Source organism: Homo sapiens, chromosome 7 (genome assembly GCF_000001405.40).
Source record: "Homo sapiens chromosome 7, GRCh38.p14 Primary Assembly".
NCBI lineage: Eukaryota > Metazoa > Chordata > Mammalia > Primates > Hominidae > Homo > Homo sapiens.
Genome location: NC_000007.14, coordinates 29113097 through 29140724, shown reverse-complemented (window position 1 = coordinate 29140724; position 27628 = coordinate 29113097). Strand labels below are relative to the sequence as shown.

At 41.0% G+C, this 27628-nt stretch overlaps 1 protein-coding gene and 1 long non-coding RNA gene across 26 annotated transcripts in view, besides 2 other annotated features; one reads left to right on the top strand and one right to left on the bottom strand.

The window, feature by feature from the left end:
• CPVL (carboxypeptidase vitellogenic like) overlaps nt 1–27628 on the top strand; it is a 200816-nt gene that overhangs the window by 54727 nt on the left and 118461 nt on the right. For 17 of the 21 annotated variants that reach the window (NM_001371268.1, NM_001371258.1, NM_001371256.1 and 14 more), the window contains one exon: nt 19654–19832. In NM_001371268.1, coding sequence (NP_001358197.1) covers nt 19725–19832 — 108 coding nt within the window. In that variant the 5' untranslated portion in view covers nt 19654–19724. Of the gene's footprint in view, nt 1–16397; nt 16415–19653; nt 19833–21246; nt 21364–26102; nt 26379–27628 lie in introns of those variants that run through there. The other 4 variants (NM_001371266.1, NM_001371265.1, NM_001371267.1 and 1 more) reach the window with 4 other exon arrangements.
• Nucleotides 844–2043: an enhancer, noted in NCBI's record as "CDK7 strongly-dependent group 2 enhancer chr7:29178298-29179497 (GRCh37/hg19 assembly coordinates)". NCBI's record gives its function as "activates an origin of replication core promoter dependent on BRD2, BRD4, P300/CBP, MED14 and CDK7 cofactors, with strong dependence on CDK7, by STARR-seq in HCT116 cells {active_cell/tissue: HCT116}" and the evidence as "EXISTENCE:reporter gene assay evidence [ECO:0000049][PMID:35650434]".
• On the bottom strand, nt 12553–18290 carry LOC128966558 (uncharacterized). Of its 5 annotated transcripts, none has more exons than XR_008485572.1 (3): nt 18083–18290; nt 14099–14396; nt 12553–12711 (listed from the first exon to the last, which is right to left on the bottom strand). It is a non-coding gene; the product is annotated as an uncharacterized LOC128966558 (long non-coding RNA). The 5 variants fall into 5 exon arrangements; XR_008485569.1 differs by lacking the exon at nt 18083–18290 and adding an exon at nt 15638–15692; XR_008485570.1 differs by having other exon boundaries at nt 12558–13869.
• Nucleotides 13320–14519: an enhancer, noted in NCBI's record as "CDK7 strongly-dependent group 2 enhancer chr7:29165822-29167021 (GRCh37/hg19 assembly coordinates)". NCBI's record gives its function as "activates an origin of replication core promoter dependent on BRD2, BRD4, P300/CBP, MED14 and CDK7 cofactors, with strong dependence on CDK7, by STARR-seq in HCT116 cells {active_cell/tissue: HCT116}" and the evidence as "EXISTENCE:reporter gene assay evidence [ECO:0000049][PMID:35650434]".

The window sequence follows — 27628 nt, the reverse complement described above, 5'->3', positions numbered from 1 at the left end:
AATGTGTAGCCTGGAGCAAGATTACCCCCAGTTGACTATGGAAGCCCTGAGAATTATGCTGCTTCCTCAATGCTTTTTTCCCAAAGTTAGAAGTAGCAAGTTGTATAGTGAGTAATAGGATTTGCATTGTGAATGGGGTCTTCCTCCAGTGAGGACTTTACTAAGTGCAGTGTTTATTTGTAGTGGGGCACAGAACTGCATTCCTCATGCTTTATGACAGTATTTAGGGTTTACTGGTTTTCATGCATGTCTCTCTTTGCTAGAATGAGGGCTCCTTGAAGGTGGATACTGTCCCCTTTTCATCTTTAACTACTCCACAAGTTTTAGCAAAGTGTCTCACCCTTTACTGTATGGTTAGAAAATCTCTGAAGAGTTGAGTTCTGTTAAAGGAGAGAAAACTATTTGTATAGAAGAGTGTGGGTAGAAGCCTGTTTGTTTGTTTGTTTGATGTGAGACAGGGTCTTGCCACATTGCGTAGGCTGGTCTTGAACTCCTAGGCTCAAATAATCCTCCTGCCTCGGCCTCCTAAAGTGCCGGGATTACAAGTGTGAGCCACTGTGTCCAGCCGAGGCCTGCATGTTTGAATGGATCAAGAAATGTGATTGTTTAGTGCTGAGGGAGGGTAGGTAGGTTGCAGGGAAAGGCCTGGCTAGGGAAAAGCTCATATGCTCCTAAGTCAAGCAACAAGAAATGTAGAACGTGAAATAAAGATGAAGCCATTCTGAGTCATGTGCAGACCGTGGGAAATATCTCCCTGTATTTGACAAAAGGGGAAATGGCAGCCATAGCTAATTCTGAAGATGAAAAGTGTTCCTGCCTGGGTTACTTGATGAAGAATATTATTAGCAATCAGCAAGTCAAGTGGAAATAATTTGTTTTGTTTTGTTTTCTCCCCTTCTAACTATTGGCATGTTGGTAGAATTAACTTGGCTGGCAGGAGAATGAACCGCCTGTGCCGTTGGGACACAGGAGATTTCTGAGCTGGCAGACTGCACACTCCATGTAAAACCATGACTCTTTCCACCATTCTTGTGTACACGTGTGCCTGAACATTGGTGTCTGCAAAATCCGAGACGTCTGTTTCAGAGAAAAATTGCTGGAAGCCACTGATTTAGAATTTTAATAGGATTTTTAAAAAATCTGTGCTTAAAAAACATGTAATTTAATCAGTGTTGTAGCCCCCCTGCCCCCCCAAGAATAGCCTTTCTTAGGTTTCTTAGGTTGTCTTACGAACACTGACAGAAATGTGTAGGTTCAGGGCACCTAGAGCAGATGTGGAAGTTCTTTCATTAAGGTAGCCTGCGTGAATCATCCCTGTGACTCAAAGCCTGAAGCAGTTTTAGCCTGATCTCCTTGGCTGCATTTTTAGAATCTTAGACATTCCAAGCTGAAAGGGATTTTGGGAATTATATAGTCCATCTAATCTCCAGAATTTACAAATGAAGGAACTGAAGTCCAAGGGGAGAAGTGAATTGGCTTGCCCAAGGATATACCTGTTGGCAAAGTGAAGGCTGGAACTTTTGACCTTGTACATTCAGGAATTGTGGCAGAGCCTTTCCTGCTCGTCTTAGAATGTAATGTACTATAGGGAGCCCGCAGCCATCCTCTACGGTCTGGCTTTATTGTCTCTTTTCTCCCTATTTTTTAGTCTCCTTCTACCTTTTCTCAGCACACCTTTCAAGTGGGATGGAAGTTGAAACCCACTCAGCAGAGAATATGAGAAATACATGTGTAATGACACAAAGTTAGGTGTGTTAGCATTATGTCCAGCAAAGGAGGACACATACCCAAAGGTTGGGAGAAGTGGGAAGAGGCCTCTGAAATATTTGGCCTTGTGCTGAATGAGTCGAAGGAGGGATCAGGGAAGAGGTACCCGCTGGATTAGCTGCTGCCAAGTGCCCGTGGCAGCTCAGGAACTTAGACTCTCAGCAGTCTCTGTTCAGGAGATGGGAGGGACAAAGCGCTATCATTGGTAAGAATACAGCAGTTGCTCAGAAAAAAGGACTGTCCATCATACTGCAGCTGCAGAGTGGCCTTGGGTATATAGAAACATTGTTAATGTTCTGTTGGGAGCATCTTAGACTGATTAGCAGCAGAGCTGATTTTCACTCCCAGGGATCTGGGTCTCTCTCTTTCTCGGTTAATGGCACCACTGTCCACCCACCCAGCCATCTAAGTCACATCTGGGATCATCCTAGATTCTTTGTTCTATTTCAACTCTAATATATAATCACAAGTTTCTTCCAGTTTTACTTTCTTCTTCTTCTTCTTATTATTATTATTTGGAGACGTAGTCTCGCTCTTTTGCCCAGGCTGGAGTGCAGCAGCGTGGTCTTGGATCACTGCAACCTCTGCCTCCGGTGTTCAAGTGATCCTCCCACCTCAGCCTCCTGAATAGCTGGGATTACAGGCACATACCACCAAGCCTGGCTAATTTTTGTATTTTTTTGTAGAGACAGGGTTTTGTCATGTTGGCCAGGCTGGTCTGGAACTCCTGACCTCTGGTGATCTTACCCACCTTGGCCTCCCAAAGTGCTGGGATTACAGGCGTGAGCCACTGCTCCCAGTCAACCTTCTAATTATTTTTAAGTCTGCCCTCTCCACGCTATTATTACTAGTTTCCAGCCCTAGTTCAAACTCCTGTCATCTTTATTCTAGATTATTGTGAAACATATTAACTGGCCTTCCTGCCTGCTGTCTTTCTGGCTTAAGTCCATCCTTACATTGATGTTCATAGTACTCTTTTCAAATTATCAAGCCCTTCAGTAGTTCCTAGTCACTAGAGGATAAAGATTCTTAGCATATCTAGAAAACTCTCCCTGATCAGCTCTCTACTGACTTCTCTAGATTCCATCCTATTTCTCCACTTCCTACTTATGCTTTTCTCCTGCCTCTGTATTGGTTATCTATTGCTGCATAACAAATTTTTAAATGCTATAAATTCTATGACCTCCCAAAATAGTGATATAGGCGTTAAGAAGAAATTATTTGGGCAGATAGTGAGAGTACAGGAGTCCTCGGTAAGGTTTTCCTTTTAATGAAAAGCAGACCCCAAATCATTTTCTTTTCTAACAAAGAGCAGCCTGCCTATAAAATTGAGCTACACACATAGACAAGTAAGCTGGAAGCTTGCACAGGTGAATGCCGGCAGTTGTGCCAATAGGAAAAGGCTACCTGGGCTAGGCATGTTCAAAATGGCAGCTCCGTCTTCCCTTTTCCTTTCCAACCATGTGTACAGTAGGGAACAGACAGTAATGCTGGCCAAGTGGAAAGCCCATTTGCTTAATAAGGTTAGGGTGAGGTGGCCAGCTTCCCTGCATGCTATGTAAATGTCACACCTGGTCCAGCCAATCTGTGGGCCAATCTTTGTCTATATAAATCAGACACCACCTCCTCAAGCCTGTCTATAAAATCTGGTGCACTCCACGGAGGGCCAGATTTCCCATTCAGATGCCCCTCTCTTGCAAGAGAGAGAAGTGTTCTCCTTTCTCTTTCTTTTGCCTACTAAACCTCTGCTCCTAAACTCACTCCTTGTGCGTGTCCATGTCCTTAATCTTGGCATGAGATGGCGAACCCCAGGTATTTACCCCAGACAGTGATGCCACCTCAATAGGAGAGACAGCAGCACATGAGGGAAGTATAGAGGGATTCATTTAATTAGGAGTTAAAGTCAAGGTTGGAAACTAGTTTGGAGGTTTGCAGTAGTCCAGGCAAGTCACAATAAAGAACTGGATTAGGCCATGAGAGTAGATTTAGAGAGGTGAAGGTGAATTTGAAGAACATCTAGGAGATTCAGTTGGTGATTGATTGGCTGTGGGAATGCAGGGCCAGAGAAAAATGGATAAATAAAGAATACATCCTGGATTTCTGGCTTTAGTACTTGAGTTGATGGGAGTATTTCCAACCAAGATGAAAAATAGGGAAGTAAGGACAAGTTTAGGGAAGGAGATAATAAGTTTAGTTTTTGAGTTCTTCTTAACTACTTTTGATTTTTGTCAATATAATAAAAGTAATGTTATAATTCTCATGATAAAAAATTTTAGTCTTCTTCTCCCCACCTCCCCATCCTTCTCTTATCTCTGAGACCTCCTCTCATACTTTTACCTGTCTGTTCTAGCCTTTAATTCCAAATTTCCAAGTAATCTGCCTAATCTGTTTCTTGATTTATTGGTTTTAGGGTTACACCTTTTATTTGAGGTATTTTCTATTGACTTATTCAACAAGGTGAAAATTCACCACTTTTACATACCTTACCTCCTGACTTTCCTACCCTCCAACCTGTCCAAATGGTGATATAATTTTCTCTTTTGCCAAATCAATATCTAATATTTACCTTATTATGTAAATATGCTCACTGCTGAGCCAAGTAGTATACTATAATTGCAATCCATGTCTTGTACAGTTTTATTTTCTTCATCAACTTAAAAATTTCCTCTTTGGATTGTTCTATTTTCTCTATCACTCTTATAACTTCTGTCCAAACTTGCTGACAGAACTGTAATATCCTTATTGATATGATTTTTTACAAAAACTCATGCGGTAGTCAGTTATAGATATATTTCTTCCTTGAGGACATCTCATGTGGATCCCCCTCTATCTTACTGCTCCAATATGCAGTGGTTGCTCTTTAAATATAACTGTTATTCTGTGATTTCACTTCCCCTCTTCAGTCCTAGTTCCCCTGTTAGTGGGCTCCCATGTCTTCCTCTTTCTTGGTTTACATCCTTGCTTTGGTGGACCACATTTGCCAGTAGCTTTCTGAGAAGTGGTATATGAGAAACAAACAAACAAAAAAAACTGGCTGGTTCCCAAGCTGTATATGAGGTGAAAAAAATTAAATTAAAAATAAAAATCAAAATCTAGCTGGGTGTGGTAGCTCACATCTGTAATAGCAGCACTCTGGGAGGCTAAGGTGGGATGATTGCTTGAGCCTGCAAGCTAGAAGCTGAAGTGAGCTGTAATTGCAGCATTGTACTGCCACTGCAGCCTGGGTGACAGAGTGAGACCCTATCTGTAAAAATAATAAATAAATAAAAATAAATAAATAACTCTTATGTATTTCTGAATATTTATTTATTCTCATGATTGATATAGGCTGGGCGTGGTGGCTTACACCTCTAATCCAAGCACTTTGGGAGGCTGAGGTGGGTGGATCACGAGGTCAGGAGTTCGAGACCAGCCTGATCAACATGGTGAAACCCCGTCTCTACTAAAAATACAAAAAAATTAGTTAGGCATGGTGGCGTGCACCTGTAATCCCAGCTACTCAGGAGGCTGAGGCAGGAGAATAGCTTTAACCTGGGAGGTGGAGGTTGCAGTGAGCCAAGATCGCGCCACTGCACTCCAGCCTGGGCGACAGAGCAAGACTCCGTCTCAAAAAAAAAAAAAATCTAATACAATTTTGGCTTTTGATTCTTTTTATGTGATACCATTCTCTTTCTGTCTTCTTCTCTGGAAAGTTTCTAATAGTCACTTCTGAAATGTGTTCTTCATCTTTTCATTTCTTGATCTGGGAACTTGATGGTTCCTTTAAATCTGAAAAATCATATCTATACCTCTGCAGATATTTTCGCAGTATTTCTTTGATAATTTCTTACCCTGATTTTTTTTTTTTTTTTTTTGAGGCAAGGTCTCTCTCTGTCATCTAGGCTGGAGTGCAGTGGTGCGATCATGGCTCACTGGAGCCTTGACCTCCTGGGGCCCAAGTGATCCTCCCACTTCAGCTCCCTAAGTAGCTGGGATCACAGGTGTGTGCCACCATGTCTGGCTAATTTTTTAAACCTTTTTTGTAGAAATGAAATTTCATTATGTTGCCCAGGCTGGTCTCGAACTCCTGGGCTGGAGCTATCCTTCTGCCTTGGTCTCCCAAGGTTCTGGGATTACAGGTATGAGCCACCTGATCTCCCCTGAATTTTATCTGCCATCTTTTTCTGGAACTCCCATTAGTCAGATATTGGTCTTCTGGAACCAATCTTCTAATTTCCTTATCTTTTTTCTTCCTATTTTTTAAAGTTCTATTATCTTTCAATTATATTTTCTGTGAGATTTCTATAACTTAATTGCACTGTCCTTTTATCAAATTCTTAAGATTTCTTAAGATTATGTTTTTAATTTTCAGAAGCATGTTCTTGTATTTTATTCTGTTGTTTAATGGATGCAATATCTTCTCTTATCTCCTTAAAGACATTTTGGTTTTTGGAGAGTTATTCTGCTTCATACATTGCTATTTCTTGTGAGTTTTTATTTTTGTGCAGTTTCTTTTGGATTTTCTACCAAGTTGGAGGCTTTGCTCAAATACCCAATGGTTCCTTGAAGTCTATTTACATATTAAGTGTGAGAAACTAAATTGCTGGTTGGACACTGTGTTGAAGGGATTTGTCAGCAGTTCACTGGCTCCCTGCAGTTGATTGGTGGATTCAACATGCTTCATTAGAGGATCCTACATGTCATTATGTGTAGGTTCTTTCTCTAAGAGAATGCAGTTGTTGCAAAGAAGAATTCTTCAGTCTCCTGCAGAGGCTGAAGAATGAAGGTATAGAGTCCTTACTGCCTACATTCTTTCTGCTGAGTGTTCAAGGGGCTGGGGTCTGTCAGTGTGTAGAATTTCTGAGTTTTCAGTAGGGTATCTCTTCCCCAACTTTCACTGTTTCTTATATTCCCAAGTCTAGAGTGTCTCTACTGAAAATGTCCAAATAATGAATTTGCTGCAGAATAAGGCTTTCACCTCTCTTTTAGACTGGGGAGGGACTTGAGGATCTAAATGCTGTTATAGACTCTTGCCAATTCCTCCATTTTCAGCCCCATACTTTACTTTTGCCTTCTGCAGTAACCAGTACTTACCATTTTTGACCCTTTCTGTAGTTGTATGGTTTGAATTAGCTTGTTTCTTATTTATATTCTGCCTTCATTCTCTGCAAACTATCTGTTCACTTTCCATCTAACAACAAAAATTTGATCTGCCCCATTTACTGTTATCTCTTCTATTTTCTTGGGTATTGGGATTTATAACTTTAAAAAATGTCTTTACTCTCATTTTAGAGAGGTTTCATGAGGGGACAGAAATAAACAAATGTTTCTGATTCACCACGTTTCAGCAGGATTAAATGCCATTTTGACATGTTGAGTTTCATATACCCATGGGGCATCAGGTAAAAATGTTAGGCAGGCAGTTGGATGGATGAGGCAGAAGCTTTTGAGAGGCACTCTCATTTTGAGTGGTGTCCACAGAAAGTGCTGGTTAAAGTGATGAGACCACTCTTTAGTGTGTGGAAGTGTGATAAGCTGTGGGCCAAGGATAGACTTCTAGAAGAATTTTAGAAGATCTATGAAAACACAAATTACAGAAGGCAAGGCATCGATAAATTTGCCAAAGGGGCACTGTCAGCATGTCAGAAAAGTCAATAAAGATAAAGACAGATTTTTCTTTTGAATTTAGAAATATGGAGATTATTAATGATTTTGGCAAGATGATATGCACAGAAGTCAGAATACATTAAGAAAGAAAACAGCGTTTTTTGTTTTTTTTTTTTTTGCCTTCAGAAACTGCTGACAGAAGCAATAATAGAGGGTATTCAGTGGCTTATGAAGCAGATGAACCAGCCTGTGGGCTTTTTCTGTTGTCTGCACCTTGGATACTATACGTAGTGGATTTTCAAATACCTAATGAGGGAATGCATGCAGTGACTTTGTTGCCCTTGCATTAGCTGTGTGAAGACATTTTGGCTGGTTTGATCTGAGATGTCATTTCTCATCCTCCACTTTCTCTTTTCAGGGTTGGTGTGAGCAAGCCAGACTGTATGGGGCTTTAAATTCTGGGTATGACTGATGAAGCTGATACTATTAACCATGTCTTTCTTCAATTGTATATATGATGAAATTTTGCAGGATAATAGAGACAGTGGAGTATAGGGGTTACACTAGAATAAGACCTAAATTCCATTTTTGAGGCCTCTGAGGGAGCTCAAAACACAGCACTTTGTCTTTCTTTCATGAGTTCTGAAAAAATTGAGAAATAAGAAAGAAGAGCAAGGCAGGAGGACAGTGAAACATCAGCTTGATTAACGAGGGAGGCTGGGCTGGAATGGCACTTTTCCTTTTGGGCAAATGGGTTTCCTATGACTGATGCCTGACTGAGCAGACTTGCCCAGCAATCCTCAGATTCACACAGGGTTTAGAGAGAAAAGCACCGTTTCATGTGGGGATGGGGAGTGAGGTGAGCCCAACATGACCAGTTTATCCAAATGTACCCATAAGGTGAACCTTTCTGCCTGACACCCTACCCCTACGGAGGGAAGAAGGCAGCAGCAAGGGGCCAGCAGTGTTACACTGTTGGACTTCCTGGACACTGATAGAGATATCCAGAGCTGGGAAGAAGCAGTGCCCTAAAATACAGGTTAGCTTTCAATACCCAGCACGAGCCTGTACCTGATCCCCCTTCGAACCACTCCGACCATCGCTCACCTGGCCCCCACCATGGGCTTCCATCTGCATTGTTTCCTGTTAATGGCCTTTGTAGTCACTGTTCTCCTGCCAGGAACTCTCTTCTTCCTAGACACTGTCTCATGCCCTCAGATCTGCTCAGATGTCACCTACTCAGGGGGGCCTTCCCTGACCACCTATCTCAAATAGTGCCACTGCTTGACCCCTTTCCTCTCTATTCCGTTTATCCTGCTTTGATTTTCTTAAAAGCTCTCGCCTATCTCTCTTCCTCAGTTCATGAAGGCAGATGCTGTCTGTTTTATTCATTGTATGAGCTAAGGATATATTTATTCAGTGAATGAGTGGATGGTCCAGTCAACTTGGAGTCTGTTCCAGGTCAGCTGCTGCCTGGAGTATTATCACTTGCAAAGTGGCCCAGTCAGCATGGGCCTCTATTGAAGTGCTACACTAACTCCTTTCAAGAGTGGAGGTGGGCCAAGGCGCAGTGGCTCATGCCTGTAATTCCAGCACTTTGGGAGGCCAAGGCAGGTGAATCGCTTGAGCCCAGGAGCTCGAGACCAGCCTGGCCAACATGGCAAAATTCCATTTCTACAAAAAGTACAAAAATTAGCTGGGTGTGGTGGCATGCACCGGTGGTCCCAGCTACTCTGGAGGATGAGGTGGGAGGATCATTTATGCCTCAGGAGGCGGAAGTTGCTGTGAGCCAAGATTGTGGGTGACAGAGTGAGACCGTGTCTCAAAAAAACAAAACAAAACAAAAAAACACAAAGAGTGGAGGTGAAGCTTGAATGAGACAACATATGGAAAAGAGCTGAGAAATGTACTAGAATCATGGAAGCGAGTCCTATAGAGTGGTTACTGCTACAAATAGTAGTCACTCTTTTAGAATCAGGGAGAAGTTTCTTGTCACTTCAGGGAGTGGTGGTTAAACTGATGACATTGCCACATTTACTAGGATTATCCTCATATAAAATGTTCTCATTCATTGTTCCCAATCTTAGCCTGTATTTGCCACCCGGTGTATCCTAATGTTCTTATTTGAAAATGCTAATTATAGTAGGCAATAGAAAGGAGGCAATTCTTTTTTTTTTTATTTTTGTTTATTTTTATTTTTTGAGACGGAGTCTCACTCTGTTGCCCAGGCTGGAGTGCAGTGATGCGATCTCGGCTCACTGCAAGCTCCGCCTCCTGGGTTCACACCATTCAAAAGGAGGCAATTCTAAAGAAGAACAGAGCTACACTGACTTGAGCAAAACTAACAAAAATTTCTTAGTGGAAGACACTGACTTTGCCATGAGATTTTAATGTCCTAAAGAGTAGAGAGCTTCACTTACCCCAAAAAGTAATTTCTGAAACTGAAAGAAGTACACTAGAAATCCATTATGAAGCAATCTGTGGACCTGTGATTTTCACTTCTTTACAGATAAATATGCCTTTCAGTCATTTGCAATTTCAGTACCTATAAATTCTGCAAATGGACAAAACAATCCAGTTTATTCAGAATTCCGTTTTTATCAACAGTTGCATTGAGGCAGATTTCGTTATATTCTGTCGTTTATATAGTGGTATATGGAAAATACGTGGACTTTGACATCACCTAGATATGGCTTCAGATTCCAGCTTTGCAACTCAATAGCTGAGGGGGCATGAGAAAATTATTTAACCTGGGACTGAGTTTACTCATATGGATATGTCTCATATAAAGCTCTGGCCTTAGGGCTTGTCTAAGAATAGTGTCACAGTCAAGAAAAGGTGTGCTGTCTGTTAGTGAACGGCTATGAGATGTTCTGTAACAAGGGAGCCCATTTAATTGTATTTAACCCAGACTTTCCCAAATGTTTTTCCTTATAAAATCTGTTAATATAGACAGATAAAATCTGTCTATATTATAAAATCTGTTAATATAATACAGAATTGGTATTCCATAAAGGACCCTGTGGGAAATCCTGGCTTGCATAATGCCAGACATATTTGATGTAAGAAATCAGTTTTGCTTCCCTTTTCCAGCTTAGTGTTGGCCAGTCAGAATTTTCACTGGACGCCTACCAGGCAACTTAAAGTAGAACTCTTGGGGTTTTGTGCCTTCACACCCTCCATCCCAACTCCTTCCATAGTCTTCCTGATCTCCAATCATGGCCCCACTATTCATGTATTAGTTTCCTAGGGATGCTGTAACAAAACACCACCATCTGGGTAACTTAACAGAAATTTATTGTCTCACAGTTCTGAATGGTAGAGTCCAAAATTAATGTGTCAGCAGGACCATGCTCCTCCTGAAACCTGTAGGCTACGATCTTCCCTGCCTCTTCTAGCTGTTGATGTTTACCAGCAATCCTGGGCTTCTTGGCTTGTAGATACATCACTTAGTGTCTGCCTCTTCGTCACATGGCATTCTCCTCTAAAGTTCCCTCCTCTTATTATAAGGACACGAGTTATATTGGATGAAAGCCCTGCCCTAATCCAACTCCAGCATAATCTCATTGTAGCTAATTATTAGGTTGGTGTAAAGTTACTTTTAATTAAAAGTAGTGTGGCTCACACCTGTAATCCCAGCACTTTGGGAAGCCGAGGTGGGCAGTTCACAAGGTCAGGAGATCGAGACCATCCTGGCCAACATGGTGAAACCCCACCTCTACTAAAATGCAAAAAATTAGCCAGGAGTGGTAGCACACACCTGTAGCCCCAGCTACTTGGGAGGCTGAGGCAGGGGAATTGCTTGAATCTGGGAGGCAGAGGTTGCATGAGCTGCGATCGTGCCACTGCACTCCACCCTGGCGACCGAGCGAGACTCGTCTCAAAAAAAAAAAAAGTAATGGCAAAAACCACAATTACTTTTGCATCAACCTTACTACGTCTGCAAAGACCCTATTTTCAAATAAGGTCATATTCTGAGGTACTAGGAGATAGAACTTCAAAATATCTTCAGCTCAGCACATAACAATTCATGCAGTTACTCTGGGCAGAAAACAGGTGCCATCCTTGTACTTCTTTTCTTTCCCTTAGCCATTATGTCTGGTCTATGAGCAAATATTCATGGATCTGCCTTCACAATGTAGCTGACCATTTCTCATTACCTCCCCTGCTACTCCTTGACCCCAGCCTTTGTCATATCTCTTGGGTTATAACAGTGGCCTCTTATGAGGTATCATGGTTCCATCCTGATTCTCCTTAAGCCTACTTGTTAGATAGCAACCAGAGCAATCATGTCACAGTGTAAATCAGATGATATTCCTCCCTTGCTCTAAACTCTCCAGTGGTCTCCCATTATCATTAGAATAAAATGCTAACACAGATGAAGGAAGATAAGACTCTAGGAGCTCTGCTTTATCTGTCTCTCCAGCCTCATTGTGTACCACTCCCTCCCCTATTGACTGTGCCCGCCAACCCACAGTAAGCACCTTGTTTGCACTGCAGGGCTTTTGTACTGTTTCCTCAAGGCTGGCTCCCTCTCAGTCTCAGATCATCTACCCAGAGATGTGTTTCCCACTCATTGTTAGCTGAAACACTTGCACCCCATCTGGCAGAGAGCAGAGAAAGTTTTTTTCTTTTTTTTAATTTTTTTTTTTTTTTTGAGACAGAGTCTTACTCTGTTGCCCAGGCTGGAGTGCAGTGGTGCAATCTCAGCTCATGCAACCTCCACCTCCTGGGTTCAAGCGATTCCCCTGCCTCAACCTCATGAGTAGCTGGGATTACAGGCGTGTGCCACCATGCCTGGCTAATTTTTGTATTTTTAATAGAGACAGGGTTTCACCGTGTTGGCCAGGCTGATCTTAAACTCTTGACCTCAAGTGATCTGCCTGCCTTGGCCTCCCAAAGTGCTGGGATTACAGGCATAAGCCATCATGCCGGGCCCAGAGAGAGTTTTGTCACCACTCATGAAGCGAAGCACTCAGGAAACAAAAGGAGAGAAACAGGAATGAGATAGCTGTCCCTGGGAGGGAAAGGATCAATAACTAATGGGTATCCCCAAATCAGATTTACATGAGTCACAATCCAAACAAATGATTTTCTTCTGCTAATCTGAATTTGGAAAGGAAATCCCTACCTAGGAGCAGAGATCCAAGAGAGCTGATCTTGGTTTAAAAAAAAAAAAAAAAAAAAAAAAAAAAACTCTTAACTTTTTGTTGTTTTTTTATTGGTTGTCCCAGGATCTCATCTGCAGGTTCTGGAACTAGTGGGGTGTCACAGCCACCCCATGTTGGCTGCCAGAAACTGTAAGGGGAGAAAAAGAATATCTTTTCCTCATCCATCACAAGGTTCATGGCTGAGCCCCTATAACAAATAAAAAGAAAAAAAAAAAAGATTAAATGGGAAAAGTATAAAAGTTATATTTAATGTAAGTTTTCAGTGACACAGAAACCTTCAGAAAACGAAGCCCCAAGGACCCAGGGAAAACCATGTGTGTTTAGGGACAGTTGTGCAGAAGTGTAATTGGAGGACAAAAGAGTGTGATCTAATAGTAATAATCTGGGGAACTCAGCGAGGCCTATTTGTTCAGATTCCTTTCAGCCTCGGTGTGACATTCCTTCCCTCTGGGTATAGGGCAGGACCCCTCTGGAATGAGGGTCTTATGACCTACTTTCAGGGGAAGTAGGTCAGAGAATTCTTTCATGGCCAGCTCTCAGGAGAAAAAGGTGGGAAAAGGTCAGAGAGCAGCCTTCCTGCTTCTGCTGTTTTTTCAATTTCCTGCTGTTTAAAATACTCACTGTGCCAAGGTGCCATTATTTTGGGTTATCATGTTGTGAGCCCCGACACCTCAGTTCCTTGCTTTACCACTTACTAACTGTGAACCTGAGCAAATCACTTAGATTCTCTGAGGATCGGTATCTCGTCTATAAAATGAGATGACAAGGTAAGGTTGTTTGTAACCCTTACCTTCCTGGTTAGAAATAAAAAATATAAAGCAATCAGTACAGTTTTTTGTACATAGTAAGCATTCAGTAATTGGTAGCTATTAACTGGTATCATTATCATGATGGTGCCTTTAGTCACAGGCATGGCCCTTCTATTTCAAAACTGTTGAAGAACATGTTGGGATAATGTTTACATTTTACTTTCCACCACATGCCCACTTAAATTTCCCTTCTGGTTGGAGTGGGATTTCAAGGAAAAGCTCTAGACTGTGGTGTCAGATTATATTATTTTCTCCTCTTCCTGATTTTTCTCATTCTCTCCCTGCCACACACCTCTAGTTTCCTTTTCCTGCACATCCAAGGATATGGTGGCAGAGACAGGGATGACTAATTCGTTAGAGAGATTAGACATCACTGTCTGATGCCAGAGAGGAACCTGTGAAAAGGAGATAGGCGTGTCTCAGTGCCACTTCAGCAAAAGGTTGCCCTTTACCTTGCATGCCATGACTGTGTCCTCCCTGGGAAAAGAGTACTTCAAGAGTGTTGTCCAGGGTGTCAACATAGTGAGACTCTGTCCCTTAAATAAATAAATAAATAAACTCCTGGGCTCAAGGGATCCTCCCGCCTTGGCCTCCCAAAGTGCCAGGATTACAGGCATGAGCCAATGTGCCGGGCAATAACTATTTTAATTGCAGCTACAATGGTTATTATATGAAAGATATGTATCCTTTGATTGGAGTAATCGATAGTGTAAAGTGGGGAAGTGGAAACGAGTGAAGGGGAGAATATAAGGCTGGTTTAAATACCTGCTCTTTGTTTGTTTGTCCTCATCCTGCAGGTTTTGTTTTTGATTCTTTTTTCTTTGGCAAAACACACACCTCCAGTGGCATTTTCAGGTTTCTTTTCTTGAGGTCTTGCAAATCTGATTATGCTACTGGTTGATCAGGTAGGGGAGAACTGGCCAGGATTTTCCCTTTTTGTCTCTTCTGATGGTCAGGTCGATTGGAATTGGAGTGTGAGCTAATGGAAAATAGCATCTAGCTCATTTTACCAATAATGAAGATGAGCCCAGTATGTGCAGGTAAATGTTTAACAATTGGCAGTCTGAAAAAAAGAAGGCCTGATTTCTGGTGTTTGCTGGTTACTGTGGTATAAATACTCCTACCATAGTTGATTTCAAGCTACCAACAAGATTACTGAACACATAGTTGGAAAAAGATGCCCAGAAGCAAATCATCATATGTGTAATCTGTCTACCACACAGATACAAAAAACATAACTCTAGATCACAGATAATAGTAAAATGTAGTAAAATCATTAGGAAATGATAAGTTTTGAGTACTTTGAACATATGTTTTAAAATGTAACTTCTTCAATAACAGTTTAATTGTTAACGGTGGCTCTGTTGAACAACTGACTCTCAATATTTCTGAAAATTTAACCATCAGCTCTCTTGCGCTGGCTTGAGCACATCAGGTGGGACCCAGAGAAGTTACTGTCTTACCAAGGTCCTCGGATGAGTCATGGCAGGACCTGGGTTATTACAGAGTTGTTTCTAAAAACCAGACTACTCTAGACAGATTTACTTATCAACGTTTCTTTTTATTCATTTGTTTATTTATTTACTCCATCCTTTAACAATCCATAAAAGGGATTTAAGACTATTACAGGCTGTTATTATCTATTGAGACAGTAAGAGTCAGAATATTTGAATATATCTGGAATAAAGGTGGGAGAGTAGGCCGGGGGCGGTGGCTCACGCCTGTAATCCCAGCACTTTGGGAGGCCGAGGCGGGTGGATCACCTGAGATCAGGAACCTGAGGTCAGCCTGGCCAACGTGGTGAAACCCCGCCTCTACTAAAAATACAAAAATTAGCTAGGTGTAGTGGTGGGTGCCTGTAATCCCAGCTACATGGGGGGCTGAGGCAAGAGAATCGCTTGAACCGAGGAGGCGGAGGTTGTAGTGAGCTGAGATCGCACCACTGCACTCCAGTCTGGGTGACAGAGCGAGACTCTGTCTCAAAAAAAAAAAAAAAAAAAAAAGACGGGAGAGTGGAAAGCAGATGAGATTTAGAGCCATAAGTAAATTCTGGCTTTGAGTCTTGGCCTTGTCATCTTGATCAAGTCAGTTACTCCTTGGTAAAAGTTTTCTAATCTGAAGATGAAGGAACTGGACCACATGAACATTTAATATCTTGTAGGTCTAAAATATGGTTCCTTATTTAGATTCATCAATTCAATAATATTTGCTTAGTACCAACTATATGCACTCTCATTATGAACTGTACTCCAGGCAGAATGAAATTCAGATATGATAATAAATATTATTATAATAGCATCTCACATTTATGCAGAGCCTTCTGATTTGCCGAAGAGAAAATTTACTTTGAGTCTCTGGGATTCTGTGGCTTTAGGAGATCAGGACATATCTTAACAGAATGTTAGAGAAAGAAGAAGCTATTCTAGAAGTACAAATAGAACCTTATTCCTAGGAAACAGAAGAGGTCATACCCAGGTAGTAATAAGGAATAAGCACTTTTTCTGCCATGTCTAGCAGTTGCTTCACTTTGTTTTTTTAAAAAAGCAACAAAATTACCTTTTTTCTGAGTATAAAATTTTTGTAGAAAATTTAGAAATTATTAAGAAGTATTAAATAAGGAAAAAAACCATATATCCAATCTAATATCCTGCTTTTCTTTACCTAATAATATTTTATCATATTTTTCAAAACATTCTTAGTAGAATCATTTTAATTGCTGTATGTATAATAATTTTATCTTTTTGGTATATAGTAACTTATCTGATGTCTTACTGTTGGAAATTTTATTTATTGACAATTTTTATTATTCTAAAGAACACTGTGGATAAATAGCTTTGTTCCATATCAAAAATCATACATTGGACACATGATTTTCAACTTTAATATTTAAGGTTTAGTAAGACAATTTTAGCAAATTATATACTTTTGACCTTTAGAGTCTTTGATTCTGTTGATATTGTTTTGTATTTACCCAGATTTTATTCTGTTTCTAAACATTTATTAAGAAGAACATTTTGTTTGAATTCTTCAATATGATATGTTTGAACTGGAAATAGCACCACTGTTTTCATATTATTTCAAGTAGGTATGATAAAGTGTAGGGTTAACAATTTTCTTTTTCAACTTTCTGTGGGAGATATCCTCTGTCTAGTATAAGGTTTGTTGGTTTAGAAATTGCTCAATAAATGTTCAATAAATAAAAGGACTCATGCTAATTTAGGATAAGCAAAAACATATGAGAGGGTGTTTAAAAAACCCACTTCTCCATTTATGATAATAGCTTTCATTCTCATAAGGAGAGATAACAGCTAAGCACAGTTCAGGAATTCTGACTGTTGAATGAGAACTGTAAAATGAAGTATGTCGGTGCTTTAATTCACCTGAATGGGAAACCATGACTCAGATAGTTATTTGATTAAATGTTAATGAGATCTACTAAATTGACCCAATTCTTACTTTTATGTATTAGATTTATATCAATTAAAACAGGACCAGTTTTACCTGTTTTCCTTTTTTAACATCTTTGAGTCAACATCTGCTTACAAGGGAAGTGCTGTAACTACCCTGGTTATTTAAATATTAATGGCTTCCATTAAAGGGAGCTAGGGATTGGCAGCAGGAAGATTGAGAAATTAGATGGCATGATTGGTTTCTTGTTTCTGTCCCCAGGGGAAAAAAAAAAAACAAAAACCTCTTACTGGAAGAGCTTCTTCCATTATTTTTTTTTAATATTGCATATATATATATATATATATATATATATTTTTTTTTTTTTTTTTTTTTTTTTTTTTTTTCTGAACCAGTTAGAGAGTAAGATTGTTGATTTCAGGCATCCCTTGAAAGTAGCTGTGCTATAAAAGCATCAGTGTAAACAAGTTCAAGTAATTTAAAAAAATGTTTTCACAGTGCCATAGAGGTCATTACCCTGGGGCTTCTTGGGAACCTAATTTCAGTTCCTAAATTCATTTTGTTCTTTATTATAGTCAGTAATAGGCAAAAGCATTTTTTAGCTCCATCCTGGATTTGGTTGGCCTTATTTACATTAAGTGTGGGGAATTCTAGTAAGTTAACCCTGAGAGACATGACAAGGGTTATATATTCAATCACATTATAATTATAAACCTTTATCTTACTGGGGAAATGTGCCTGAAAAGCTTTTAAAATTTGCTATAACCAATATTTTCATGTTATGCCAAATTGGGTTGTAATAAGCATGTCGTTAAAAGATTTTTACACGTTTTGTATTTTTAAGATGTTCTAATGGCTTGGCATTTTAAAGCACTGAACAAAAGCAGGCATTATATTTGCATAATTGTGTATCTCTTTTTGCATCCAGAAATGTGAATGTGTGGAGTACCCTTTCATTTCATGTATTTGATTTAGAATTTACAGCTAAGAACATAGATCATGCTTAAATAGCAGGAGTGCAGAGTCATGTAACGGCCCTGGTGTGCTTGTCATAATTCCCTACTTAGCAAGGTCAGGATTAGGGTGAGACAAGAGAGGCACTACCTCAGGTGTAAAACTTAAGAAAGTGTCAAAAAAAATTCAAGACTAGTAATATGTTAATGTAATAGTTAAAAAACTGTATAATGCAGAGAAAAATTAATGATAATAAAAATGGTCAACATTTTAGATCAAGATGAGATCTGACCCTGCATCTGTACCTCCCTCGCTTCTCCCTAGTCCTGGCCTTCTCTACTTTCATGTCCTTGCATGAGACACTCTTTTGATTCAAGTTTTCCTTACCTGAATTTGGTGACAATAGTCCTCACTTTCCTGGTGACAAGGATTTTTTTCCTTGGCCAAATTTTAGTCAGGCTTCTGAATCTCCTGCTAGGCCTGTTTGTGCACGTCCTTGTAAAATCCAGTTTTAGCAAAGGACACTAGCTAAGTCGTTTTACCAAGAACCAGCAACATCAACATCCGATCGCCTCAATGTCTGACCAGGTTTCTCATCCTGCACCATCCCCCAGGTGATGTCTGATCACCCTGGCCTGTCTTCAGTGAGAATCCTGTTAGGTTTAGCCAGATCCACCTTACCCCAACGCTTCCTTTGAGTAATTTTCCATCCACTGACCCCCACACTGCTCCTTGGCTATAAATTCCCACTGGCCCGTGCTGCATTTGGAGTTGAGCCCAATCTCTCTTCCTTGCTGCAAGACTGTTGACTGCAAGGTCCCTGTGCCTGTCATTATCCTGACAAAGTCTTTGTCTCCATGCTTTAACAAATACCATTCAGTCGTTTTTCTGTAACACTGGTGGAATTAGGAGATTCAAATCATCTACAAATACATGGGAAAGCCCACTATAAATATAATTTACATATTGATGTTCAAGTAAATAATTATACAGTTTTATGCCATTATTATTATAATCTCAGATGAATATTCTAAGCAAACATCAGATCTGAAGATCTTTGGAAAGCTTTGTGCTAATGGTTTGGGGCCTAATGTCTTTAATTTACTTATCAGCTAGCAATAAGGGGAGGAACCTAAGGGTAGTTGTAGGACCCTCCCCCCTTTCTTTCTTCCTTCCTGTTTTTGTTTTTGTTGTTGTTGTTCTTTGATACAAACTGGGGCTTTATAAGAGATAGAGAACATAACCAGAAATCCATTGCTTCTTTGAAATTTCCCTGAAAGGTGTGCATGGATGCCTGAGGTCTCACCTTTGCTTAAGCTGTTTCCACCCACCCATGATGCCTTTCCCATTTCTCCCACCTGTCTGAGAACCATTCACCTTTTATCCATATCCAACTTGGATAAGGCCTTTCTGTGATCTTTCGGCCTGAAATGTGCTTTCAATCCTCTGCCCTTCTGTGGTGGCATAATGGTTTCTACCACCCATTTATGGTCAGTTACAGAGTTCTTGTTGTTCTGAGTCTTTATCTAATCCTCCATTGAATTTACTTTCCAAACTGCATTTTAAAAAATGTCAGTGGTTCACTCCTATAATCCCAGCACTTTGGGAGGCTGAGGTGGGAGGATTGCTTGAGCTCAGGAGGTCAAGGCAACAGTGAGACGTGACTGTGCTACTGTACTCTAGCTTGAGCAACAGAGCAAGACTCTGTTTAAAAAAAAAAAATCAGTAATTGAAAAATTACTGACACTGTAAATCCCTTGAAGAGTCTCCCATTAGCCTTTGAATTTAAGAGTAAGCAGGGATTGGGTGTGCTTATTTATGGTGCTATCCAAGGTCCTTGCAGAGGGCCTTTACACACAATATTTTTTTTAAGTGAATAAATGAATTTCTTGCATGTAAAAGGGCCAGGTAAATATTTACTCTTATGATTCATTTTTGGAATGCTGTTTTTATCCTAGACCCTGAGAGATGGTTGGTGCCATGTGGAAGGTGATTGTTTCGCTGGTCCTGTTGATGCCTGGCCCCTGTGATGGGCTGTTTCGCTCCCTATACAGAAGTGTTTCCATGCCACCTAAGGGAGACTCAGGACAGCCATTATTTCTCACCCCTTACATTGAAGCTGGGAAGATCCAAAAAGGTAAGTAAGTTTAATTAAATCAGAAAACCACTGGCATGAGTTCAACAGTTTCTCTTTTTTTTTTTTTTTTTTTTGAGACGAAGTCTCGCCTGTCACTAGGCTGGAGGTCAGTGGCGCGATCTCAGCTCACTGCAACCTCCGCCTCCCGGGTTCAAGCAATTCTCCTGCCTCAGCCTCCCAAGTAGCTGGGATTATAGGCACAAGCCACCATGCCCAGATAATTTTTGTATTTTTAGTAGAGAGGGGTTTCACCATGTTGGCCAGGATGGTCTCGATCTCTTGACCTCGAGATTCACCCACCTCGGCCTCCCAAAGTGCTGGGATTACAGCTGTGAGCCACTGCACCTGGCCAATAGTTTTTCTTAAAACAAGTAACCCATAGGATGCAAAATATATTTCAGTATTTTTACTCAGTTGTTTTATTTCAAATATATATATATATATTTTGTTTGTTTGTTTGTTTGTTTGTTTGAGACAGAGTCTTGCTCTGTTGCCCAGGCTGGAGTGCGGTGGCGCAATCTCTGCTTACTGCAACCTCTGCCTCCTGGGCTCAAGTGATTCTCCTGCCTCAGCCTCCTGAGTAGCTGGGATTACAGGTGCCCACCACCATGCCTAGCTAATTTTTGTATTTTTAGTAGAGATGGGGTTTCACCATGTTGGCCAGGCTAGTTTTGAACTCCTAACCTTTGGTGATCCACCCTCCTCAGCCTTCAAAAGTGCTGGGATTATAGGCATGAGCCACCGCACCCAGCCTATGTCAAATATTAATGACTTGATGTCATATGTTGTCTGAGTTTTTAGCTAAAATGAGAATTAGCCGGGGTTGAATTACCTGCATGGTTGAGTTGCAGCATTTTATTTATAAGACTAGTAGAGTGCCTGTCCCCCAGTGGTCACTTAATGCTAATACTATCCTTAAAACTTACTATGAGTCAATCACTGGTTCCAAGCTTTCTGCATGAACTTATTTAAACATCTCAACATCCCGGGGAGGTGGACCCATTTTACACATGTGAAACCAAGGCAGAAAGAGATTGAGCTACTAGCCAGAGTTCATGCAGATATCAGCTGGTGTGTAGGCTTCATACTCAGCCTCACTGCAGCCTCCCTGCTGTGCCCCGTTATCCAGCAAGTCTGGGCCTTAGTTTTCTCATTAAGATAAGATGGAGCTTTAACAACTTACCCAACTTACAGAGATGTTATGAAAATCCAATGAGATAAGGCACGTGAAAATCTTTTGTACTCTATAAGTTGTTCTCCAAATATGAGTGTTTGCAATTGGCTTTATTTAGAGATTGTGGGTTTTTCTATTGTTATTACCAATAGGAAAAAAGGTATCACTTAGTGTTATCAGAGGCTAAAATTTATGACCTGCATCTGCTCTTTTTTTTTTTTTTTTTTTTTTTTGAGACAGAATCTTGCTCTGTTGCCAGGCTGGAGTGCAGTGGTGCAGCCTCGGCTCACTGCGCTCTGCACCTCCTGCGTTCAAGCGATTCTCCTGCCTCAGCCTCCTGAGTAGCTGGAACTACAGGCATGTGCTACCACGCCCGGCTAATTTTTATATTTTTAGTAGAGATGGGATTTTGCCTTGTTGGCCAAGCTTGTCTCAAACTCCTGACCTCAAGTCATCTGCCTGCCTTGGCCTCCCAAAGTGCTGGGATTATAGGCGTGAGCCACTGCCCCCGGCCCTGTATCTGCTCTTAATGCTTCTTTGCGCTTAATCACTGTGCGAGTAAATGATTTCAACTTTCTGGACTTCAGTAGGTTCCTAAGCTATAAAACAGTAGACAGGTAGCTATTCTGAGGAGCTGTTTGCAAAGAGCAGCAGAAAAATGGGGTAGTGGCTGGAGGGAGCACTGGGGTCCAGGAAGGGTCTTTAACAGAATAGGAGAGAATGTTTGTTTGCTGATGGAAATGATGAGTGGGGAATTGGTTTGGTTTGGGGAACCATTGTTGGAGACTGTGTTTAAGAAGGTGAGAGACAGGGATCTGGCACACAGGGGCCCCAAGGTTGTCCCTTGTCACAGGTGGGAAGGCAGAGATGGTGCCTGTGAAGCTGGCAGGTTGGCAGATGTGATGGGAATGAAGAAGAACACCGGAAATTTTAGACAAATGGTCATTTTAAAGATCAAAAGCAAATCTAAATACTCTATAAAGAAGTTTAAAATAAAGCAAGTTTTATTCGTTCAAAGTGTTCTCACAGCCAATAGGATGTCATTGTTTTTTGGTTTTCGTTTTACACGAAGACATTCTTGTATTTTAAGGGTATGTGTAAGTGCTGTTCATATGTCTTTTTCTGAAATACACATTGGCTTCAAGTTTCACCATCTCTTTTCTAAGGAAAGATGAAAAACTTTGATAATGTATTTAGTGTATTTTAAAAAGGACTGATTTTTACCTCACAAGAGAAGTCTTGGGAAGATGGCTGCCCCACCATATGGGCTGATACCATTAAGATGCTTGTGAAGAGGCAAAGTGTCGTTAAACCCTCCAAATTGGATTACATGCACGTATTTCAGCTTCCTTAACAAGTGGATTCTGATGGCTTAGATTTCTGTTCATTAACAGTAAATCAAAGCAAACCATTTAATGTAGGGATGAAAAGGAGTTAAGTAATTGTTATAACCAAATTCTACCAATCCACATATGAGGAAATTGAGACTGAAATACTTTATCCGAGTTGCCCAACGGGATGTGTGCAGTAGAGTTGGGTAGCAGAGATGGGTTTAGGACCCAAATCTTCTGACTTCTGCTCTGTGATTTGCCTACTATAATTTAGTTCTGTTTGTTTCAGAAGCTTCTAAAGTGTTCTTCTAAAGTGACCAGATGCATACACACAAAACAATTAAGGAATTAGGCAGTGCATACTAAAGTACTAAAGTATTACATTTAAAGTAAGTGCACTGGAGATTCGGAGGAGGAACCTATCCCTGTCGGTTGGCATAATCGAGGGAGAAAATACTAGAGCTGTCGTAGTTGTAAAAATAATAAGTAGCTAACATTTAGTCATTATATCCCTAGTACCTAGCATAGTACCTATACATAATAGGTATGTATAAATATGTATGGAATTTAAATTTGGGTACCAACCATGTGCCAGGCATTGTGCTTTACATCCATTAGCTCATGTAGTTCTCAGAGCAACCCTAATGAAGAATCCATAAGCATTGTTCCCATTTTACAAATGAGAACACTGAGGCCCGGAGAAATCAAATATCTTGCCTAGGGCCATAAAACTAGTAAGTGGCAGAGCTTGAATTAAAACCTATACTGGCCAACCCCAGGGCCCATGGTATGAACCACTATGCTATATGAGCAGCTCTGAATTAAACCCTATACTGGCCAACCCCAGAGCCCATGATATGAACCACTATGCTGTATGACCAGCTCTGGACTTCAGAGTGTCGGGTAAGATTTACGTAAATAGCGAAAGGTCTGTGCGTACCAAATGAGAGAAACAGCTTAAACAAAGGCATTAAGTGAAAGTGACCATGGTGTTTCTGTATCATACATCTGGTGGAACCAAGTAAAAAGAATACAGAGAAATCCATCTGAGAGACTACTGACATCTCTCCTGTTCTTGTCTTTCTTGCCTATGAGCATTTCTCAGTTATGGGTATTAGCAGCAGCCAAGAAAGATTCCAAGGGAGGTAGTTTTATCTTCCACCCTCCCATGTCAAGATTGGTAGATCTTCATCTGATGATTGACAACATTTAAAATATTAAATCTGTGTATAATATCACTTCCTGAAGTTATGTTACACAGTCAAATTCTTTGAACAGAATTTTAAGTGGCTGATTCAAAATCTGGTACATCTGGGTATTCAAATGTAGCCCTGACAACATAATTAAGGATAATTTTATTCATCCGCTTTGCTGAAAGTTCAGGAAGCTCTGGACAGATGGTCAGCTCACTCCCCTAAATCCCTTTTGTTTATCGAGTCTGTCAAAACCCTAGGAACGTGAGTCTTATTATTGCAATGGAACATTTTCGAGATAAACAGTAGCTCGCAAAAAAACAAGGGAAATTTTTAATTTTTAAATCCTCATTTAGCTGGCTTAGTTTTATGTAATTGTAATTGCATGTTTACTTTCTCTGAAGCTAGAATAAATCTTTACTCCCTGAAACAAAATGAAGTAGGAGGCACATTTTAGCTTGTTTATAAACACTGCATTTTCACACTTTAAAGACTATTTTACTGGTAGGTCCTAATTTATTGTTACTTATGATCTGATAATGTCTGTCCACACTGGTGATAACTTGAGTGTTTGTGAATCTGGCATGCATGCTGATTAGCTGGTTCAAGCCCTTTGTTGGTCACATTCCAATGTTTTTGAAAGTGTTAATATCACAAACATTGGTTGCAGCAGTAAAAAACAAGGAGGAAGTAAAATCACTTCAAAGAAAACCTTTTCCTTTTTAAAACTGTTCTAAACATTTGTATTGTGAGTCATGGTGCTGGAAAGATAGAAACTCCTCCATCTTGGGAGTTTGTTTTCCACATTCCATTAATAGAAGGATGCACAGGACATTTGAAAATATAAAAAGTCATTTTAGTTGATGACATTTTAAATTATTTTACTGGGATTTAGTTAGTGGAAATTTAAAATTTGAAACAGGGCAAAACTTTTTTTATGGGCTAGAGAAAAGTTCTAAATTTCTTAAGATCTTTTAGCAAGGTCTGCCTTAGGAGGTTTTTGTAGAAATAAGCCAATCTTGGTGCCTTGTCAGTAGGGCTTGTTTTAGTTCATTCATTTATTGACTTGTTCATCCATTCATTTGTTAACATTCATTCATTAAAAAGTATTTATTGAATGTCTTAGGTGTGTAAGTCAGCATGCCGAGTCCCAAGGTATGCAAAGTTAAATAACACAAATTCCCCACTTTCCAACCTCCTGACCTAGGAGGGAAGGTCTGAAACATACTCAAGTAAAAGGTAGTAGAGAAGCTACTTTGGCATCCTCAGGAAGGGAGGGATGAGTGAACATCTGAATCATTTGAGAGCAGTCTGTGGACCCTGTGTGGTGCTGGTCTTGGGAGAGATAGATTGATTGAATCATCCTTTCCTCTGTTCCATTCCCTCCAGCTCCTTTCTATTATATATTTTCTCTTTTTCTCATTATACTTTGACCTTTCTCATTTTTGTGTTGTCTTTCTCAAATCCTCTTCTTCCCATTTACCTCTCTGTGGTCCACATCTCACTCATTTCCAATCCACAGTTTTTACTTCTCTACTCTCCTTTTTTTTTTTGGGAGGCAGGGGGTGGTATCTGTTTGATTTTGAGAAGATTAATAGTTTTGCTAAAAATATTTCAAAAGCATTTTAAAGGCTGCCCAGCCCTGGGGGGTGATCTTTCTCTGGGCTAATTAAGAGTGGAAGTGAAGAAAGGGAGAAGAAAAACGACAGATGGCGGGAAGAGTGGGAGGGGAGGAGTGGCAAAAACCACTTTCCCCAAACACCTCCCTTTTCTTTCTCATAAGATCCTCACCTCTCTCTCTTTTTCTCTGGCTTTTTTTCTGATGGAGGAGGGATAGACCTCATTGGGAACAGAATGTGAAGACCAACAGAGGTTGCATTAAGCAATCTTCCCTGGGAGAACCAGGCTGAGCCAGAAAAAGGAAATTCTTCTAGACTTCACTTGGAGTGGCCAAAGGCTAATGATAACTTTCCCTTCCAATTGACTGAACCCATATTTTATGTGCAGTGCTAGGCTAAGGGTTCATATGCATTTTTGTTGTTTGATCCTCACAGAAAGCCCAGGATAGCGGAATCAGTATTTATATTTTGCATAAAAGGAAAGAGGCTCAGAGAGATGGAGCAACTTGCTGGGGAGTCCTAATCTAGTTAGGATTCCAAACCCAGGTCTGTCAGGCTAGGAAACCCATGCTCTTCTATTGTGCTAGCCTAACAGGACCCTCAAGGACCACCTGTTGAGACCTTTCTTTTGTCCCCATGACCTCCTCTGCTCAGAGGTGCTCCCTGTTCCTAGTCAGCAGGTGCATTTCACAGACAGCAACAGTAGTTCTGCTCCCTACCTGCCAGCTTCTTTATATAGATTTTACATGTGGGGGCTCTTTTAATCCAGGTGGCCCACAGGCAGTACATCTTCCATAGAGGAGAAACTGAAGAACAGGGAGGTTAAATGCCTGTATGGTGGGTCACCAGCTGGTCTATAGGAGCACTAGGATCAGCAAAGGAACTGTGTGGTCTAGATGAGAGGTTTTCCTTTTGAGAGGCATGCCTATATATATGTTTTTTTTTTGAGACAGGGTCTCGCTGTGTTATCCAGGCTGGAGTGCAGTGGCATGATCATGGCTCACTGCAGCCTTGACCTCCTGGGCTCAAGTGATCCTCCCACCTCAGCCTCCCGAGTTGCTGGGACTACAAGCACTGCCACCATGCTCAGCTAAGAGGCATGCCACTACTTCCCTTCCCACTCCTTGCCACCTGCACCTTCTGACTCACTCTAGTTGAAAGCCCTGGGGGAAGGAACAAACTCTGCAGCCTGACTGCTGTGTTTAATCCCAGCTCTCCTCTACTAGCTGGCAAGTCACTTAACCTCTCTGTGCTTCAGCTTTCTTATCTGTAAAGTGGGAATGAGAACTATACTTCCCACATCATGTAAAGCCCTGGTATTCTGGCCTTGTAAAATAGGAACTAGTGGTCCCAAAACAGCAGTGTGCTGGTAAAAGTTTAGCAACCAGCCCTTGCAGTCAGGACCCTGACTTGTAGCATCTATTCCCTTGAGTGTTAATATTGTCACCTTGGCTTATTTTATCCTGTCAATGTCTCTGAATGCTGAGCTGGGAAAAGATGCTAACAATTAGCCTTCCAGAGCCTAAGGGCTCCACCTACCGTCAAAGGCATCTTTAGTCGATGGCATGTGAGGAGTCAAGCTTCCTGACCTACTAGCCAGTCTCCAACTTAATATGGCTCAGACTTACATCGCTTTTCTTGAGTGACTGGTTCCTACTGGGGACACATTCTTTGTCACCACTAAAGGATTCTTCTTCACCCAAACTTTCCCTTTTACTTCGCCACCACATTCTGCTGTTTTCTGTTCCTTTGCCACTCCCTTCCTGACCACTACTTCCCTTCCCACTCCTTGCCACCTGCACCTTCTGACTCACTCTAGTTGAAAGCCCTGGGGGAAGGAACAAACTCTGCAGCCTGACTGCTGTGTTTAATCCCAGCTCTCCTCTACTAGCTGGCAAGTCACTTAACCTCTCTGTGCTTCAGCTTTCTTATCTGTAAAGTGGGAATGAGAATTATACTTCCCACATCATGTAAAGCCCTGGTATTCTGGCCTTGTAAATGTCAGCTCCTAGTAGCATTCTTTACTCCTGGGCATCCTTGGCTGTCTAAGCATCCCCAATTACTCCTTCCCTGTGCCTGTCCCAATGGTGCCATAAGAACGCCAGGACCCCTGGCCCCCACAACTGCCCCATTGTCCTATTTGGCTCCCCCTGAGTAGCCATGAGGTCACTCCCAGTCTCCCCACTGTCCACCACTGTCCACCTTTCCCCAATGTCCACAGCCACCCACACTCCCATATGCCTCAGCCCACTCCTCTTAGTAGATGTGACAGGCTTTTTGCCTTCATGAAAACAAGAGCGTGAAGGACACAGGCCTTCTCGGGGCGAGGCCGAGAGCTGCTTCACCACATTGTTACTCTTGCACCCCACTGTTTCAGGTCAGGTTACTTTATCCTGCTCCTTTCCATGTGGCCCAAGGTGATCACCTTGGTTTATGCAAGGTGTAATGATAGGAGATTTTCTTTTCTTCTTTTTAAAAG